Genomic DNA, 21325 nt, shown 5'->3' with positions numbered 1-21325 from the left:
GGTTTCACCATGTGGACCAGGCTGGTCTTGAACTTCTGACCTCAGGTGATCCCCCACCTGGGCCTCCCAAAGTGCTGGGATTATAGGCGTGAGCCACCATGCCCGGCCTGTGATGAGTTTTAACCTGCATATGTGTCAGATGTGTTTGAACATTTGTCAAATGGTCATTTCTCAAATAGTATGATGTGATTAAAAATATACAGCAAACTTTGAGACTCTGAACATTATATATATGAGAACTGCAACACAGACAAGTATTAACAGATAGATGATCAGAGTTGATAGTTCACTTCTACACCAGATCACACTGTGCTAAAAAAAAAAAAAAAAAAAAAAAAAAAAAGCTGGAGTATAGTTCTTATTTCCAAGATGAAAATTCCTCAGAACTAAATATAGGAGTATTAGACAGTGAGGGAAATAAGTAAGTACATGAAAATTAAACCTGGGTTTTGTTCCATTGGATTTAGGAAGAAGCTAAATACTTCACACAGCAATCTTCTAAATCAGAAACATCTTAGGTGGATACTGCTTCTTCATGAAAATCATTTTATTCTTAAGTTTGAAGTCTCAGGGTAGAACAGTTTTCAGTAATCTATGAATTCATGGAAATTATACATCTAATAATTATTGCCTTGCAATTTTATTGCTGTGCTTATTCTTGATAATACCTGGTAACATCCATTACTAGGGATCAAGGGCTACCTTTCTCTGAATCTTCTAGAAGACAGTCTCTGGATTTTAGGTAATACAAGGATGACTTAGAAGGATGTTGAAGAAAGTGGGCCACTATCAATTGATAATAACAGCATGTGAATTTCATAAGCCCCACATATTATTTTGTCATGTCTGCTTGCAATAAGGTCTTTAGTGTTAAAGATGGTATTCTTACATAAATGATTTGGCTTGTTAGTAATTTGTAAGGGAAAGAAAAAAAATAAACAGAAGTGGTTGAGTGTATTTTTCATAAAGCCCTCAATAGTATATTTTAGACATGAAAGTTTGAGGGTTTTATATTTTTAGTTTATAATTCCATTTGTTATTTCTATTTTTTTTTCTGAAGAGTTCTATAGTACACTGAAGATTGAGTAACTGTCAAGGCATTTTAAAGATCTTAAATGACAATCCCAGTAAAATGGGCACGTGATCCCTGGAGAAATAGGTTGAGATTCTCCAGGACATATCTGTGAATTTTCTAAATTCCCTTCTGTTATTGTTTTCTTGTTTTATACCATCATGGTAAAAAGAGATACTTGATGTCATTTCAATCATATTAAATTTATTAGGATTTTTTGTCCTAACAAATGATCTATTCTGGAAAATGTTTTGTGTGCACTTGAGAAGAATGTGAATTTTGCTGTTGTCGGGTAGAAAAATCTGTATGTGTCAGTTAGGTCACTTTTCTATATAGTGTTGTTCAAGTCCATCATTTCTTTATTGAATGTCTGTTTGGATGATCTGTCCATTTTGAAAAGTAGGGTACTGAAGTCCCATATTATTATTATATTGCAGTTTATCTCTCCTTTAAGATCTATTAATATTTGCTTTATCTATTTAGGTGTTTGAATGTTGGGCGCATATATATTTATAGTGGTTATATTCTCTTGATGAATTGACTCCTGTATCATTGTATAATGATCTCTTTTGTCTCTGTTTACAGTTTTTTACTTAAAGTCTATTTTATCTGATAAGTATAGCTATTCTTGCTGTCTTTTGATTTACTTTCACATGGAATATATTTTTATGTTCCTTCAGTTTCAGACTGCGTGTGTCCTTAAAGGTAATTTGTGCAAAAGCTCTTTAGTTTAATTAGATCCCATTTGTCGATATTGGCTTATACAATATATACAAAATGTATATATTGTATAACTTGTGTTATCAAGATCATTCTCATAATGTTCTGAATTAGGCTATGATATTTCTAAAGATTGTAAACTAGTATTATTTTATGAAGGGATTGCAATAACACATAGGACATGATTAAATTTGTATTAGTCAGTTACCAACTCTCCTACATTCCCCTCAAAAAACAACCTCAAAGCCTCAGTAATTTATATAGTCAGATATTATTTTTCTTGCTCCCTGGGTATTTTGATTAAGGCACTACGGTACTCAGCAGGGAAAATCTGGGTTTGGTTTACAGCAGCTATTGATCTGTGGCTATGTAGAGTATGTTTTCCTTATATCAAACCATAGAAGTGCCAGAAAAGTGTGTAGAAATATGATATATCTCAAAGCCTCAGTTAGAAACTGGCTTAATGTTAATTCTACTCAAATTCTATTACCAAGTGCAAATCCCATGATCAAACCCACACAACCAGAGAGGGACAAAGGCAGTAATTCCATTTTAATGGGACGTACAAAGGGCATGGATATATATTATTCTAATAATAGAAGGATGCAAAGAACTGGGAACACTGTTGCAAGCTGACATACAATAAATTTTTATCAATAGCAAATGAAGAAAAATGTGCTATTTAATTGCTTAAAAAATTATACCGACCCATTCTTCTAAATATTATTATTTGTGAAATTTTAATAATTATTGCAGAAATTTAAGTTTCTACTGCATTTTAAAGTATTCCATGTTCTTCTTAAATACAATGCGAATGACTGCTTTCATGTGAGTTCCAAGTGCATTTTTTCTTTTTCAGCCATCTATGGGTATTTGTTGTTTGTGTAACAAACCACTCTAAAATGTATTGGAGCCAAACAACACAAATGTATTATTTTTCATAATTCTGTGGGTTGAATACATGGTTCTTCTGCTTCATATTAGTTAACAGTGATAATGCATGTGTTTGCACTCAACTGTGAGCTGAGCCAGCACACTTCAGTTTTCTTCTATGGGGCATCTCTCCGTGGTGTGGCTCATTCTTCAGGGCCTTTCCATGAGTCTTCTGTTTTCAGCAAGTTACCTGGACTTCCTTGCAATATAATGACCAGTATTCAAGAGAGAGTGCACAAACTAGTAAAGAGGAAAGCTGCAAGACCTTAAGAACTTAGGCCAGAACTGGCACAACATCCTTTCTATTGCATTCCAATAAACAAAAGAAGTAGCAAAACTAGCCCGGATTCAGAGAGAAATGATCTGCTCTTGGAGGGACAGAAGGCATAATTGGCAGCTTTATTCATGCTTATCTATCACCACAGCATAAATTTGTCAAGATCTATTATTCACTTTTATTGCCTTATGTACTTTTATTGCTTATGCAAAGAAAAATTCCACAGCCAATAACATTTAACTGCTCAAAGAATAGTTTTTTTAATAATGAATATTAAGTTTAAAAAAATTAATACTGATATTTAAATTTTATTTTTGACAATTTGAAAATTATCTACATTTTTTAAATTCTATCAAAAACAAGATGTTACAAAGAACAAGATATAAAATTATATACTGAATACTGTACAATTCTATTTATATGATTTCATTACATATTGTTATATAAAAGTCAAATTAATAAATATAGATGTCATATTAGTGATTACTTCTGTAGAGGGAGATATAGCCTGGAAAGTGCAGAAGTGAAACTCTCCAAGTTCTGGAAATATTCCATATTTTTTATCTGATTTGTAGTTATACACATGTAAACATACTGTAAAAAAAATCAAGTCGTTCTTAGTATCAGTGCATGTTTTATATGTCATACTATATATGTTATATTCAATGACACAATAACAAGAATAATAATGTGTTCTTATTGCTAAATCACAGATCTTTTTTCACTATTTTTTTTGTTTCTGTCAAATTTAGTAAGGGATGAATTTTGTAGCCTTAGAGTATACTGATTGTTTTACATTAAGATCAAATAAAAGCTAGATATTTTAGGAATTTCTAAATATTTAACCTAAAGTTTTATTAGAAAATATCTTAAAATTTATTTTACACTTAAAATGTTTTTCTAAAAGGTGTGTTTTTTGTGGGCTGCATACATTGAAATAATCTTTAAATATTTTAGATCATAGCATTCTCTCAGCTCTATCTTAAGAAATTCTTATTTAATTGGTCTAGGTTGTAACCTGAGCATCTATATTTTTATAGGCCACCACTCTATCCTAGATGATTACAGTACCAGACAGAATTAAAACCACTGGTTTATTTGAACAGTGGAATCTTAAAGATCAGGACAATATATTTCTATTATTTGTATCCCTAGTACTTTACACAGAATACATTATTAGGTATAATAGCCGCAAGTTAGGAAAGTAGCATAAATACAGCATGTTGATACAGTTCTTTAACTTAAGTTAAAAATTAAAAACATAAGTAAGCAAAACAATCTTTAGCTTTTCTCTTTAAGTTACCTTATTTATATGTTATGATTTCAACAGTTTCATTACTTTTTTGGAATAAAATCTTGTTCTTCTATCATAATCTTCCCATATCTTCCTATTGTATCAATTATTTGAAACTATTACCCATTGTTAGTTTTTGATGATGCACCTGTTTACATTCACTAAATGAAATCAGATTTATTTATTTGCTGATTATATCTGAACAAATTTAAAGTTAGTGATATTTTTAAGTAGAAGCAGAAATTTCAACTGGTAGCTTATTCCACATGACAGCTGTGAACTAAAGTTTTTATAGAACTGCTAGATCTCTGGTGAGATAGGTAGTCTTAGTTAATGCCAAATGATGTTCACACCAGGCAGGAGACTTCTTGCAGCGCAGGAGGAAGCAGCACATTTAATTTGTTATCACTGAAGGAAATGCAATACTGGGACTGAATGATGTTGAAGACAAGAAGGACCTATCTGGCAGACTGTCAGTTTAGTCTCATGTACATTTAGTTAACTATACAGTTGTAGTTAAATAAATATCTAAATACAAGCTACATTTTGTATTGGATTGATTGCTCTTAGTTTTGCTTTCTTGCATGTTTTAAAAGTCAAGGTCAATTTGTACAGCTTCAGGGGAAATGTTAATCAGTCACAATTCATCATTACTTACAATTTTTCTAAATCTTCCTTGATTAGAAGTTTTAAATTTTTACTTGTAAGTTTTAAAGCTTACAAGTGTTAAATTTTCTATTTAATCATTACTTCTTTTTCCCAGTAAAGCATATATAGGCATATGTAATAAAAGGGATACATATATGTATATATATGTATATACACACACACTATATATATATATATATATACATATATATATATGCACATATATATATGTATATATATATACACAGTCATACTCTACATGACAATGTTTGGGTCAAAAACAGATCATGAATAAGACAGTGGTCCCATAAAATTAAAATACTGCATTTTTACTTTACCTCTTCTATGTTTAGACAGGTTTAGAACACAGATATTTACCATTGTATTACAATTGCCTAAAGAAGCCAATACAGTAACGTGCTGTACAGGTTTGTAGTCAAGGAGCAATAGGCTATACCTTATAGCCTAGGCGTGTAGTAGGCTATACCATCTAGGTTTGTAGAGGTACATCCTACTATATTTACACAACAACACATTTTTTAGAAAGTTTCCCCATCATTAAGTGATGCATGACTGTATATATATATATGAGTTTGTGTGTATGTAATTTCTAAATATATAACCAAATTTTAAATTTATCTTAACATTTTTTCTAATATATCCATACAATTATGAATGATACTTATAGAAGCCTACTAAAAAAAATTGAAATTTTATAAAGATCTCCTTACGGTTCTAAACTTTAAAAAAAAGTCTTTAGCTGCTTTGATGTTTGCATACAGATTTTTAACTACTATGTTTTCTTCATAAATTATATACTTTATCATGACCCAATGTCCTTTTATCCTGTCCAATGATTTTTACCTTAAAGGGCATATTTTCTTTTATTTTAATTACATTTTAGTGTACATTACATTTCTCAGGTATTGTTCCTTGGAATAACACCTGTAGAAGGAGGGTGAGGCAAAACAATTGCGTAGAGGGAGTAGTCTACCTGCAACACAGACCCAGAAGGGCCAACCTACCCTATCAGGAGCTCTGAAGCTGAAATGGCCCATCAGGGTTATTGTGTGTTCACAACTGACTAGACACTTATGTCTCCACCTTGAATAGTAATTACATGTAAAGAATATCTACCTGAAGTGACCCCAGAAGTTGCTGTCAACTAAAGGCCATTTCTGTACAACACTGCCAGCTTTGGGGGAACTTAGAAATAGTTTTTCCTTGAAGAAGGACCAGGATGTTATATTACCTGTCCAACAAAAATTTTAATTTTTGCGACAAATATCAGCATCATTTTCTCTTATGTCCTTTCTTTGCTGAAGAGCCTAATTTTCATATATTATTATTTCTGTGCAGCCTCAGGAACATTCCTTAATATATCTGGTAGTGCAGGTCTGCTAGTGAAGCATTTCTTAGATTTCTTTTACCAGAAACGTCTTTATTTATCTTTCATTCTAGAAGAATATTTCTGTGGAATATAAAATTCTTGGTTATGATGTTGGTTTATATAATTACTTTTGTATCTTTTAGCACTTTAAAGCTATTGTTTCATAGTCTTATGGCCTCTATAGTCTCTGATAAGGAGCAAGTGGTCAGCCAAGTTGCAGTCGCCTCTTATGTAATATATTGGTATTTTTTCATTTTTTTTTTTGCCTTCAAGATTTTCTCTTTATCTTTGGATCTCATCAATTGGACTATGATGTGCCTAGGTGTGGTTTTCTTCATATATGTGTTGCTTGGAGTTCACTGGCCTTATTGAAGCCACAAGTTTATATCTTTAAATAAATGGAGAAAATATGGAGATTATTTCTTCAAATGCTTTTTCTGCCCTATTCTCTTACTCTTCTTCTTCTGAGACTCCAATTACATGCATATTATAGTTTCTGATATTATCCCACAGTGAGACTGTTTATTTATTTTTCCAGTTTTTTTACTGTTCTTGAAATAGGATGAGTTCGATTAATGTATATCCAGGTTAACTGATGCTTTTCTCTGCCTTCCCCATTCTGTTCTTTAGCATATCCATGAACTATTTATTTCAGATATTGCATTATTCAATTTAAATGTTTCCATTTAAAGTTTCTAAGTTTTTTTCATAATTAATATATCTGGAAAGTATTTTCTATCTTCTTTCACTGTGAGTATGTTTTATTACACATTTTTGAGCATATTTATAATCGCCACCTTAAAATATTGTTTAATTCCAATGTCTGTGTTATCTCAGATGGCCTTTTCTTTTGAGAATAATTCACATTTTCCTTGTGTTCCATATATGAAGTCATTTTGGATTGTAATATGGATTCTGTAAAAGTTATGTTGCAGAGACTGTACTCTTTTATATGCCTCTGAAGAGTATCGGCTTAATGTTATAACAAACAGTTAATTTTGTTGCATTCAAACTGCACTTCGCTAACTGGAATTTAAAAGCAGTTGTTTGAAGAATTTTGTAGTGAGAAATCCACAGGTGGGAAGAGGCTAGCAGATCTCTTCTTCTCTTGACTTGGCATACTGTGACAGGCTTACTGTGGAACCCCTTATAAGGCTGTTTGCTTTCTACCCTCCTTGTACTTTTAGAGACAGGTAAGGCACAGCTTATGCATATAGCTTATTTTTGCTTTGGAGAATCAGAATGTCTTCTACCTCACTGTCAATGAGTACATAGGAACTAATTTATACAGTAATTTCAGTAGTCATAGAGCTCTAAAAATCAACCTCTCCTCAACACTAAACTCTAATGCTGTTCTCCTGACATGTTCATAGGTAACGAAAGAGAAAGCTCTGTTTTGTCTTCCAGTTCTATCTGCCGGAATTCCAAAGAGTGCTCCACTTCATTATATAATGCTGCTACATAGGTCTCAGAAATCTTTTGGTTTTGAAGAGGGAAAAATTTGAAATTAAATATAGATAAAACTGAACCATATTCAGATCAATATGATCTTAGAACCTATAGATTTTTGCCTGTATTATCTAAACTGAGACTGAATAGCATACATATTTTGTTCAGTGGGTATTAATGGTTCCATGATTCTAATTTTGCTCATTTTTCTGGCACGTATTGGCTACCTGCCCTACTTTTGCAGTTGACCAATTTTGCTTATAAAGACCAGGCTGTAATGTGGCCTTGGTCCCATCATACCATACCTAACCCCGCTGTATCTGATATTAGGTTCCTAAATAAATAAAAATAAAACTTTACTATTTACTCACTAACTCTAAAAATGCCTTCTCTTCTAGTTTACTATACCCACACAGAGAAAAACCATAGATATTTTATAATATAGTTTAGATGCTAAGTGGCAATACTTTGAAGTGTGAAAATCAGTGACAATTATTCAAAAAGTTTTTTTACTAATGGCCATTATTCAGGGAGATAGTTCTGTGGCTTTGCATATCTTTCAATGTATTGCTACTCAAAATGTGGTCCAATGATCAGAGCCACTCTGAAAACTTTTAACTGCTGCTCTGTGACAAAATGAGTGCAGAAATTGAGAGTATGAGTTTATTGATTTTTATGGAAATTTGTTGGACTTACTTCTTATCTGTGGAACGCAATAATTTAAATGACTTTGTATTTTTAAATCTTTGTTTCTACATTTTACTGTCTAGTAATTCCTTTTTACTGTATTTCATGAAGATTTTTTCTGTGATATGTTGAATCAACAAAATTAGTGATGTCTGTAATAAAAATTGTTTCATAAGCATTTCCTTGGCAACTGAGGACATAGATATAAGTTTAAGTACATTGGTAGACACATGCCTGCACTTGTTGCAGAATAACTAAAATACTTCAGTCAATGAAAGGACTTGAGACAGTATAATTAAAGAGGATCATTGTATTTTCAAAGTGAAAGATGCCTGAAAGCAAGAAAACCACGCAAATCTTAGTGTTTAGGTGGGAGATGAGAGTCTGGTTCAAAATTAGAGTAGAATAGAAAGAGTGGAAATAAGACTGAAGAGATTCTGTTAATTAAAAAATATCTGTAGCTCTAGACCCATGTTCTTATAATACATGATTATGCCATTAAACAAATTAAATAACACAAAGGGATTTCCAGTAGGATATAATAAAACTTAGTAACTGTTTTGGAAGCACACACCTTTAATGAAATAAAATGAGTGCATACTACATGTATCTATATGCAAGGGCCTATAATATTAATACCATGATTCTTTAAAATTCTTAAAATATACAACTTTACTCATTATTAAAACTTTTCTAAGGGGAAAAATATTTGAGCACATGTTTTATGAGAAACTTCTGCCTTACATATCATTTTAAGGGCAAAAATAGTAACTGAATAAAAAAATTAAGTCTGAGAGAACAAAAATCTGATAGAGAAATGGTTATTTACATTTAGATGATTTTATTACTAGATGACATAGATATATTTTGATATATAAAGAAGATGTTCATGAAAAAATACTTAGATGTGATGAAAATTATAGCAATATATACATACCTGGAATTATACATACAAATTTTGGAGGTCATTGTTTACATAGGGTGTTATATTTCTGACTTTTAGATAGCCTTAAATATTAAATTAGATTTTTATGGAATTATGCCAAGTTCAATGAAATTGATATTCTGTATTTCTGGGAGGGAGTATGTGTTTAATACCATTTTTATGCACATTGAGCACATCAACTAATTTCATTAATACTGTAAGCCTAGACTGGATGACATATGCCATCAATTTCTAATGTACTTAGAGTCAATTCCCAACAGTGTGGGGGAAAAACACCCGCAACTTTGGTAATTCATTTATACGTATTTATTCTGTGGACCATATTGAATGCTACCTTTTAAACCCATCCATATAAGGTTCAAATATATTTGGATGCCTAGGTAACTTCTGTCACTTTTATTTTATTATTTTACAAGCCATCTGATTTAGCCAGTTGGTCTGTTTTTTCTCTCCTAAATAAGTAGTGTTGATCCACATTTCTGCAACTTTTCTCAATCATATTTTCTAAATCAGGACCCATCTAAGATTCAGGCTTCTTCATGAATATTTCACTGTCTGCCCAAATCTTTCATTAAGTGTATTGTTTCAAACATTTATTTGATAATATCTATCTTATTGACTTCTCTCTTTTTTATTCTCATTAAATGCAATGCACAGTATTACACTTTTGAAGTGCTATATTGTTTTGAGATTCTATGCATAGTAATGAACATGTATAGATTTGGATGAAGTCCAGCATATACCTGTTGAAGTTCTTGCCAGATCTCTTGAGTGTTAAGAGAATCCTGAAGCTAATTTTTATGCAAAGGGCAAGTTCCATTATTTCCTGTCACTTGCCCTGAAATCAGTACACAGACTTAGATGATTTGAAGCTGAAAAATGACAAAATTGTTACTAGAAATCTGAAACATTGGGATGTGACGTTCTGGGTAAATGCTGTTTAAACAGCCATGAATAGCTTTGGAGGAGTTCTCTTTGTTCACTGCTACTGTTACCACTAAGGACGTATTTATATCTAAGAAAGGTGGATGCAGGCCCACTGGTACACCTCCTGCTTCTACTCATTTAATTACATTGGGTTTTCTTTTTAAATTAATCTTATTCTCTCAGCTTTGTATTGCCACTGTCTTCCACATTTAGGCTTCTAAGCCTACAGGATCCTACTTTATATTCATACTCTCAAGTGGAGTTTCCTGAATATTTGTGAGCTTTTGACCTCCACCTAATTGTTTCAGAAAATTAGCGGCCCCAAGTCCGTTTGTTACTCTGTAGCCAAGGTCACCAATCCAAATATCTTACTCATGTTTGTTTTTCTTTGAGACACTTGTTATATTTTATTGCCCAAAGTTCTGTCAGTATCATATCCATTCATTTGAAATGTTGTAAGACCAAATTCCAAAAGAGGATCGGTAAATGGCTTTTCTCCCAGGACGCTTCCTACTGTTATGCTAGTTTACCAATATGGAGCACAGCATGGAAAAGAGTTTTGGGAGAGACAGCCTTGGAAAAAGTATATAAAACAATCTCTGACACCTTTCTTCCCTATAAAACAAGGTATGTCTACTTGTCTTCAATTTGCATGACTTATAGGAGCCCATAATTAGTTATTCTCCAAAGAAGCTGAGTATTTACACTTCTAAATATAAAATGTAGTTAAAAGTTGATGGCTGATGGAAAGAGACCCTATATTAGTCCATTCTCACACTGCTATAAAGAAATACCTGAAACTGGGTAATTGATGAAGGGAAGAGTTTTAATTTGATCACAGTCCTGAAGGCTATGCAGGCTTCTGCTTCTGGAAAGGCCTCAGGAAACTTAACAATCATGATGGAAGGCAAAAGGGAAGCAGTCACATCTTACATGCCTGGAGCAGAAGGAAGTGGAAGGGGTGAGAGGTGACACACACTTTTAAAGAACCAGATCTTGCAATCACTCACTCACTATCACAAGAACAGCACCAAAGGGGAAATTTTCCCCCATGATCCAATCACCTCCCACTAGGCCCCCCACCTCCAACATAAGGGATTACAATTTGACATGATATTTGAGCAGGAACACAGAGGCAAATCCTATCAGACCCTTATTAATGGAAGCCCTAGATATTTGTGTCAGGGAACAAGGTAAAATATGAGTATGAAGAACCTATTTGGATAAGATTATACTGTTTAATACATAATGAATATTTACATTTTAGGCCATATACTGATGAAATCTACTTGTACTAGCATAGTTTCTGACATATTAGCCTTTAAATTATTGGCCTCTAGCCAACAGCAAACAATATATTTGCTTTGATCTATATTATATCTGAACCATTTGTCTAGTTTGCTCTCTAGAGAAAAGGAAGTTAACACCAATAAGATCTATTATGTAAACAAACTCATACAAAATTTTTAAGAAATTACTGAGTATAATCTATCTTTATATAGTGACCCAACCCACAGGATAGGAACAATGAAACAAACCTAAAATCACTGAAGGAATAAAAAGGTAAAATATTTGAACTTTCACATTCTCTTATAGTTGCTAATACAATAAAGTTAGATAAAGAAACCTTACCTCAGGAGCAAGTAACAACGCCCTTTGTTTTCAGCAGAATGTAAAATGTTGCTGCTTATGCCAGATTTGAATAAAACAGATAATCTTCCCCAAATTGCACTTGGGTCAAGCTTTGAATCAAACTTATTTCCTTCCTTCTTTCCTTCCTTCCTTCCTTCTTTCCTTCATTCTTTCTTTCCTTTTCCTTTATTTTTTCTTTTTAAACAGCAGCTATCTCACAATTTTGATATTAACTCATTTCTATGGTCACTGTCTATAATATGATATGTATGGTTTATTTTATGTATCTTGGCTTGAAACCTTTCTACTATGGCATTTGTCCTTTCATTTTCTCTGATTTGCCATAAACAGATAATTATGCCTCCAGCCTTAAGTGAGATTTTTGTAAGATGTCTTACAACCATGATCTGATTCCAATTATTTAAGATACTTATCTTCTTCATAGTTGAATCTCTTGCAGCAGTAGCTGATATAGTTCTTCCAGTGAAAGATAAGACTTTCAGGACTTCCTCCTTAGTACCTGTGCACCAGCAACCTTTCCAAGACCATATGGTGCATATGGCCAACTTATTTCATCTGATACCTTTGCAAATTCACTTCAAATTTAATATCAAATTATTCATTGTCAACTTGCTGTGAAAAGTAATCTGCCTTCTTTTTAGTAACAACTGGTGTATAGCTGTAGACAAGTGATTACTAGATGGACCAAAAAATTAATACTTTTGCTTGTTCTACAGGAAACAATATATTAATATTTTCTAAATTATCATATGAGGAAGCTATTACAATACAAATCTTTACCTTTTAGGCAGTAACATTCATTATCACAAATTTAAATCATAGGGCTTTGTATCAATAGCAAATATCTAAGATTTTTAACGAGAATATATAAAATAGCACTTGATAAAACCATGGCAAACACTTGTTTATGAAGCATTAGAATAATGGGAAATATTTGAATAAACAATCATAAGGTAAAATTAATCATGTTCTTCTTTCATTCAGATTTTGTTAATCAAATAATCTTTATACGTAATACTACAAATACGTTCATCTTTTAATCATGTACATGTATCTTTAATAGATTATTAATAAAACAATAGATATTTATCTAGGGTTATATTCCTAACCATTTTCCCTCCCCTCCTACATACCTAAACATTTAACACAAATTTAAAATTTAATAAATATTGAATAAACACCTAGTATGTTCAAAGAATTGTGCTAGATCTGGAAATACAATTAGATAATAAAATTTTTCATCTTCAAGAAACTCACAGTATAATGAAGAACACAGATGGGTAAATTAGTGATGGCAATCCAATCCAATATGCTTAGTGTCATAACAGAGATATTAAGAATAAGTTGTGAATTTAAAGCAAAATACCCATTATTTCTAAAAGAATGAGAAAGGACCTGACAAAAGCAGAAATTTAAGCTACTTCTTTTTCATTGAATCAAAATATCCTAACTTCCAAGAACATTAAATGGGGAGGAAAAGGTGCAAACAAATGTGTAAACCAATGACAATGTCTGGCACATAGGATAGCTCGTGTTGAAAAAACAATGTTGGGAAATGTCAAAGAAAAGAAAGATTGAGGTGTTGTGTGAATGATCTTTCATCTCACTGTAAAGGGTTGATTTATCTGTAAAAACAGCAATTCAGTGAAAGTCCCTAAAAAAGAACATAATACAACAAAATGGTGCTTTTAACAAGAAAACTTTGATAGTTCTTTAGGAGAGAGTGAAAAAACAGAAGAAACACTTATCAAGAGGACAAAGAAAGACACTGGGGCAATAGAGAGGGGTGCTTGTTTGTTTTTTAATTCTCTTTGGTAGAAGAGCACTTAGTACTCTTTATATATGGAAAGTACATCTTAGAATATGTGAACTGTAAGATAGTGAGTCATTCAAATTTATATATTTCAATAGACATATTCTGTTTGACAAAGATAAACCCTTTTAAAGGTTGTGTCATCATAAACAGCTTTATCCTACAACTCTCAGCCAACATACAACTCAGTAGTATAGGGTATCTCTGGTTTCAAGTGATAATTTAAAGAAGAGTCTTTCAGTCTTGACAACATGTATTAAAGCTTTTCTGGAACACTTAAAAAAATAATAAAACTACCTTAATGTGCCAAACTTTGCAGCAGCAGTTTTTATACTTTTTAATAGTGAAATTAGACCCCAAAAGTTTATACTGCCATTGTTCTAGGTTGGATTGTTTCAGTATTTCATTTGTAATATATGAATATGGACTCTGTCTTACTCCCTCTCCTTATGTTGTCTCCAATATGCAAAGATAACACTACCGGCCTCAAGCTAATAACTATATAATATTACTTTAGCTTCATTCATTGTAACTACTGGCCATTACCTAAACTACTATTACATAATAAAGTAACTTAGTCTTCTGTCATTATTAGAAAAAAAAAAAGATATCCAAATGGGAGAAAGTAAACCCACTGAAATTTCACTCAATTTTCACTCCTGGATGCTTTCACAGGCTGGTGTTGAGTGTCTGCAGCTTTTCCAGGTACATGGTGCAAGCTGTTGGTGGATCTGCCATTCTGGGATAGGAAAGATGGTGGCCCCCTTCTCACATCTTCATTAGGCAATGCCCTGCTGTGGACTCTGTGTGGATTCTTCAACTCCACATTTCCCTTCCACATTGCCCTAACAGAGGTTCTCCATGAGGGCTCCACATGGACTAGGGAGGCCTCACAATCATGGCAGAGGGTAAAGGAGAAGTAACACATGTCTTACATGGTGGCAGGCAAGAGAATGAGTTCAGCAGGTGAAACTCCCCTTTATGAAGCCATCAAATATTGTGAGACTGATACACTACTACTAGAATAGCAATGGAAAGACCCACCCAATGATTCAGTTACCTCCCACCTGGTAACTGACAGGTGGAAATTATGGGAGCTACAATTCAAGATGAGATTTGGGTGGGGAAACAGCCAAACTATATCATTCCACTCCTGGCCTCTCCGAAACCTCAAGTCCTCACATTTCAAAACCAATCATGCCTTCCCAATAGTCCCCCAAAGATTTCAGCATTAACTCAAAAGTTCACAGTCTAAAGTTTCATCTGAAACAAGGCAAGTCCCTTTTGCCTATGAGCCTGTAAAATCAAAAGCAAGTTAGTTACTTCCTAGATACAATGGGGGTACAGGTATTGGGTAAATAGACCCATTCAAAATGGGAGAAATTGGCCAAAACACAGGGACTGCAGGCCCCATACAAGTCCAAAATCCAATAGTGCAGTCATTAAACCTTAAAGTTACCAAATGATCGCCTTTGATTCCATGTCTTACATCTAAGTCATGCTGATGGAAGAGGTGGGCTCCCATGGCCTTGGGCAGCTCTGCCTCTGTGGCTTTGCAGGGTACAGCAACCCCCCTGGATGCTTTCAAAGGCTGGTGTTGAGTGTCTGCAGCTTTTCCAGGTGCATGGTGCAAGCTGTTGGTGGATCTGCCATTCTGGGGTAGGAAAGATGGTAGCCCCCTTCTCACATCTTCACTAGGCAATGCCCTGCTGCAGACTCTGTGTGGGTTCTTCAACTCCACATTTCCCTTCCACATTGCCCTAAGAGAGGTTCTCCATGAGGGCTCTGCCTCTGTAGCAAACTTCTACCTGGAGATCCAGGCAATTCCATACATCCTCTGAAATCTAGGCAGAGGTTCCCAAACCTCAATTCCTGACTTCTGTGCACCCACAGGCTCAACACCATGTGGAAACTGCCAAGGCTTGGGGCTTGCACCCTCTGAAGCCTTGGCCTCAGCTGTACTGTGGTCCCTTTTAGCCACAGCTGGAGCAGCTGGGACACAGAGCGCAAAGTCCCTAGGCTGCACACAGCAGAGGGTACCTGGGCCAGGCCCACAAAACCATTTTTTCCTCACAGGCCTCTGGGTCTGTGATGGGAGGGGCTTCCATGAAGGTCTCTGACATACCTTGCAGACATTTTCCTCATTGTCTTGGTGATTAACATTTGGCCCATCATTACTTATGCAAATTTTTGCACTGGCTTAAATTTCTCCCTAGAAAATGAGATTTTCTTTTATATTCACATTATCAGGCTACAACTTTTCCAAATAGTTTTGCTCTGCTTCCTCTTGAATGCTTTGCTGCTTAAAAATTTCTTCCATCAGGTACCATAAGTCATCTCTCTCAAGTTCAAACTCCCACAGATCTCTAGGTCATGGGAAAAATGCCAACAGTCTCTTTGCATAGCAAGAATGACTTTACTCCAGTTCCCAACAAGTTCCTCATCTCCATCTGAGACCACTTCAGCCTGGACTTTTTTGTTCATATCACTGTCAGCATTTTGGTCAAAGCTATTCCACAAGCCTCTAGGAAGTTCCAAACTTTCCCACATTTTTCTGTCTTCTTCTGAGCTCTCCGAACTCTTCCCAACTCTGCCTGTTACCCAGTTCCAAAGTCACTTCCACATTTTGGGGTATCTTTACAGCAATGCCCCACTACCTCAGTACCAATTTAATGTATTAGTCTGTTCTCATGCTGCTAATGAAGGCATTCCTGAGACTGGGTGATTTACAAAGAAAAAGAGGTTTAGTGGACTCATGTTCCCCATGGCTGTGGAGGCTTCACAATCATGGCAGAGGGTGAAGGGGAAGCAAGGCAGGTCTTACATGGCAGCAGGCAAGAGAATGTATTCAGGGAACTCCCCTCTATAAAACCATCAGACTTGTAAGACTTATTCACTACTGTAAGAACAGCATGGGAAAGATTTGACCACATGATTCAATTACCTCCCACCTGGTCCCTCCTACGACAGGTGAGAATTATGGTAGCTATAACTTAAAATGAGATTTGAGTGGGGACACAGCCAAACCATATCACCGTAGTAACAGAAACTTTTAATAGATAACAGTGCCTTAGGCTTTGGTATATGGTTTTGTTTATTTTTATTCATTTATTTTATTATATCCCCATGCCTTAGTCATTATTTCTGCATACACATATTTTTTTAAATCAAAACCCATTTAGTGCTGTAGCAACAGTGTTGTTGCATCAATATGGGTACAATTCAAGAGTTGTTCCTCAACATAAACCTAGAGTCATAATTTATTTATTTATTTATTTATTTTGAGATGGAGTCTCGCTCTGTCACCCAGGTTGGAGTGCAGTGGCGCGATCTCCACCCCCCAGGTTCATGCCATTCTCCTGCCTCAGCCTCCTGAGTAGCTGGGACTACAGGCACCCACCACCATGCCTGGCTAATTTTTTTGTATTTTTAGTAGAGACAGGGTTTCACCATGTTTGCCAGGATGGTCTTGATGTCCTGACCTCGTGATCTGCCCACCTCAGCCTCCCAAAGTGCTGGGATTACAGGCATGAGCCACTGCACCCAGCCAGTTTATTTTTCTTATAGAGGTACTATGCAAGTTGAATCACTTTACTTCTGTTTTTACCAATCATATAAATCCATGTGCAAGCCTCAAGTTGCTTATGTACAGTTGACAGTGACTTTGATTCTTACCATTACTGTGTCTTGAGATACAAATTTGATTACCCCATTAGAAATAATGGATGATTGCTTTTTAAAGTCATCATTAACAAGGCAGCAAATTATCAATGTCAAAAAGAGTTTTTCCTATGTTCTCTTCTAGAAGTTTTAAAGTTTCATGTCTTTAAGTTTTTGTTACAGTTTGAGTTCATTTTTGTGTATGATGTAAGGTAATTCTGGTCCAATTTCATTATTTTGCGTGTGGATAGTCTGTTTTTCCAACAATATTTGTCGAAGAGACTATTCACTCCTCAATGTGTATTCTCGGCACCCTTGTATAAGATCAGTTGTCTGTATTTGTGTAGGTTTATTTCTGGGCCCTCTATTCTGTTCCATGATGTATAGGTCTGTATTTTTTATAGTACCATCGTGTTTTAATTACTGTAGCTTTATCACATATATATTTTGAAATCAGAATCAGTTTTGTTCTGCTTTCTCAAAATTACTTTTGCTCTTCTGGGTCTTTTGTGGTTCCATATGAATTTTAGATATTTTTAAAATTTTCTATACAAAATGTAGCATATTTGGAATTTTTATGTTAATAATATTAAATCTATAGATCACATAGTGTAGTATGAACATTTTAATAATATTAAAGTCTTCCATGCCATGACTATGGATATCTTTGCATTTAAGTGAGTCTCTTTTAATTTATTTCATCAGTGTTTTGCTGTTTTCAGTGTATAAGTCTTTTTTGAATATGACACTAAAAGCACAGACAACAAAAGCAAAAATAGATAAGTGGAACTGCAATGAATTAAAAAGCTCCACTTAATATAGGAAGCAATCAAAATAATAAAATGGTAACCGATGGACTGGGAGAAAATATTTCAGAATTATGTATTCAATATGGAGTTAATTTTCAAAATATGTAAGGAACTCTTACAACTAAATAGCAAATAATAATAATGATAATTCAATTTTAAAATGGGCAAAGGGCTTAAGTAGATATTTTTCAAAACAATATATACAAATAGCCAGCATGCATATGAAAAAAATCAACATTATTATCAGAGAAACACAAATCAAAACTAAAATGAGATATCATCTCACACCAGTTAGTTCAACTATCAGTTTAAATGAGGTAGCACATGTTGAAAACAATGTGAAAAAATTGGAGCTCTTCTACACTGTTGAGTGGGAATGTAAAATGTTGCAGCAGCTATGGAAGACAATAAGGAATTTTCTAAAAAATTAAAAATAGAACTACCATATGATCCAGCAATCCCACTTCTGGATACATATTCAAAATAATTGAAATAGACAAGATAGCTGCACTCTTATGTTATTTGCAACATTATTCACAATAGTCATGATATGGAAACAACTCAAGTATCCATCAGTAGATGAACATATAAAGAAAATGTGGCATAAATACAATGGTATATTATTCAGTCTTTAAAAAGAAGGAAATCGTGTCATCCACAACAAGGTGATGAATGCAGAGAAGGTTATACTAAGTGGAATAAGCCAGTCATCAAATGGCAAATGCGGTGTAATTCCAATAATAAGAGACATCTATTACAGTCAAAGTAATAGAAGCAGAAAATACAATAGTGGTTGCTAGAGGTGGGAGGATGGGGTAAATGGGGAGTTATTTTTCAATGTGTATAAATTTCAGTTGTGCTAGATAAATACATTTCAGAAATATGCTGTACAACATTGTGCTGTAGTTAAAAATACAGTGTTGTGCCCTTCAAACATTTTTAAGATGATTGATCGCTCATGTTGTGTTCTTACCACAGACAAACAAACAAGCAAGCAAAAGTAAAAAACACAAACAAAAACAACAAAAAACAAAGAGACACAAGAAGATATTGGGAGGTGGCAGACATATGAATTACCTTGATTGCGGTAGTAGTATCATGGATGTTTGCATATGTCCTAGTTCATCAAATTATATACATTAAATATGTGCAATTATTTATCTGTCAATTATATTTGAATAATATTTGAATATATTGAATAATATTTTTTTAAAAAGGAGACTAAAAAGCAATTATAAAGGCTATATAATTGTATTGGGCCGAATGCAGTGGCTTATGCCTGTAATCCCAGCACATTGGTAGGCTGAGACAGAAGGATTAAGTCCAGGAGTTTGAAACCAGCCTGGGCAACATGATGATACCCCATTTCTATTAAAGAAAAAAAGAAGAAATATAAGGACAGTAACATCAATAGTGACCCATTATGCTCAAAAATAAAAAAATTTAAACCAATGACAAGTTAAATATAAATACAAAACACAAAACACATTTGTACAGCTAACTCACAATTTATAATTTAGTTTTCACTAGCTATTCATCACATTAAGGATGTGATAAAAGTTATTGTTTTAGTTTGATTTGTGTTTAGCTTGTAACTGTTTCTAATATCTATCTATCTATCTATATCTATATCTATCTCTCTATATATATATAATCATTTTCTCTTACTGTCCTAGGGTGATATACCCAAGAATCACCTGCATTATCCGTTAGATATTACGAAAACTGAGGCACTTAATAATAAGCTCTTCTGAGAAGCTGCAGTTCAACCTCCATGTGTAATGTGCATACTCTTGAGATAATATCTTGAATGTTATTGATTCATATATTTATATATTGATACACTTATATATTCATATAGAGATGACAGGATAGATTTCATTAATAGCTATCTTTATCTGAAGTGCTTATTTTTGCCTTTTTGTGAACTATTTATATCAGGAAATTTTATATGGATAAATGCAGCATGTGATTATTAATTATAATAAGAATAGTTACCATTTAAACTGGACCAAAAACTGTGCTAAGTGCTTTTGATATATTATTTCATTTGATTCTAAAAGGAAGACTAGAAGCTATCATTAAATTCACATTTTTTAAATAAATGAGTTAGAGACTTCTGCCATGGTTGAATAGTTGAACTACAAAACTAGAGTGCTTCATTACCACACTCTATTAGCATCCTTGGAAAAGGTAACCTTGGGAGTCAGGGACCAAAAATAAGACTTGCTTGGCATGTGGAGCAGTTCTGCTCTAGAGGATGAAAGGAAGTGAAGGTATTCCCGGTGCATGGTACTAAAAACACTAGTTTGTATAGTGGTTGAATATATGATTATGTCATGTTTCTGAGGTGTATGAACTAAAGCCAGAGATTTATCCCCGTTAATATTTATCAGTAGTGTGTACCTTTGTATTATTAGATAGCATTTCTTCATTTACATGCACATTTTGTTTATCCTTTCCCCATTTGAAACCACTGAAACGCTTCAACGTTTTCTTTAAATAAAACTGTGATAAGCATTTGCATAAGGGTTTTTGTAAAAACAAAGTTTGTTATTTCACTTGGCAAATACCTAGGTGAGAGATTACAGGTTCACGTGGCAAGTGTATGTTTAAATTTATAAGACACTGAAAAACTATTTTTCAAAGTGATATTCTATTTTGCACTCTCACTGGATAATATGAGAGTCCCATTGCTCAGCAGCCTTATCAGAAATTGTTAATTTTAAAAATTATTCCTTTTAATAGTTTATAGTGGTACTTCATTGTACTTTTAATTTGCATCTCTCTTTTTATGAATTGTTTCCTATTCTAAAAATGGAATTTTTTTTCCAATTACTGTGTTTTGGAAGTAAACTATATATACTAATTATAAATATTTTATCAGATGTGAGACTGGCACACATTGTCGCGTAATTTGTGAATTCTTTTTATTCTCTTAACAATATTTTTTGGAAAACCGAAGCTCTTGTGCTCTTGTGTCATATCCGTAGAAGTCACAAAACTTCTTTTATGGATTTCCATTTAGAAGTCACAAAGATTTTCTC

The sequence above is a fragment of the Homo sapiens genome, chromosome 9, assembly GCF_000001405.40.
Source record: "Homo sapiens chromosome 9, GRCh38.p14 Primary Assembly".
In the NCBI taxonomy this organism is placed as follows: Eukaryota; Metazoa; Chordata; class Mammalia; order Primates; family Hominidae; genus Homo; species Homo sapiens.
Note: the sequence above shows the minus strand (reverse complement) of the source record.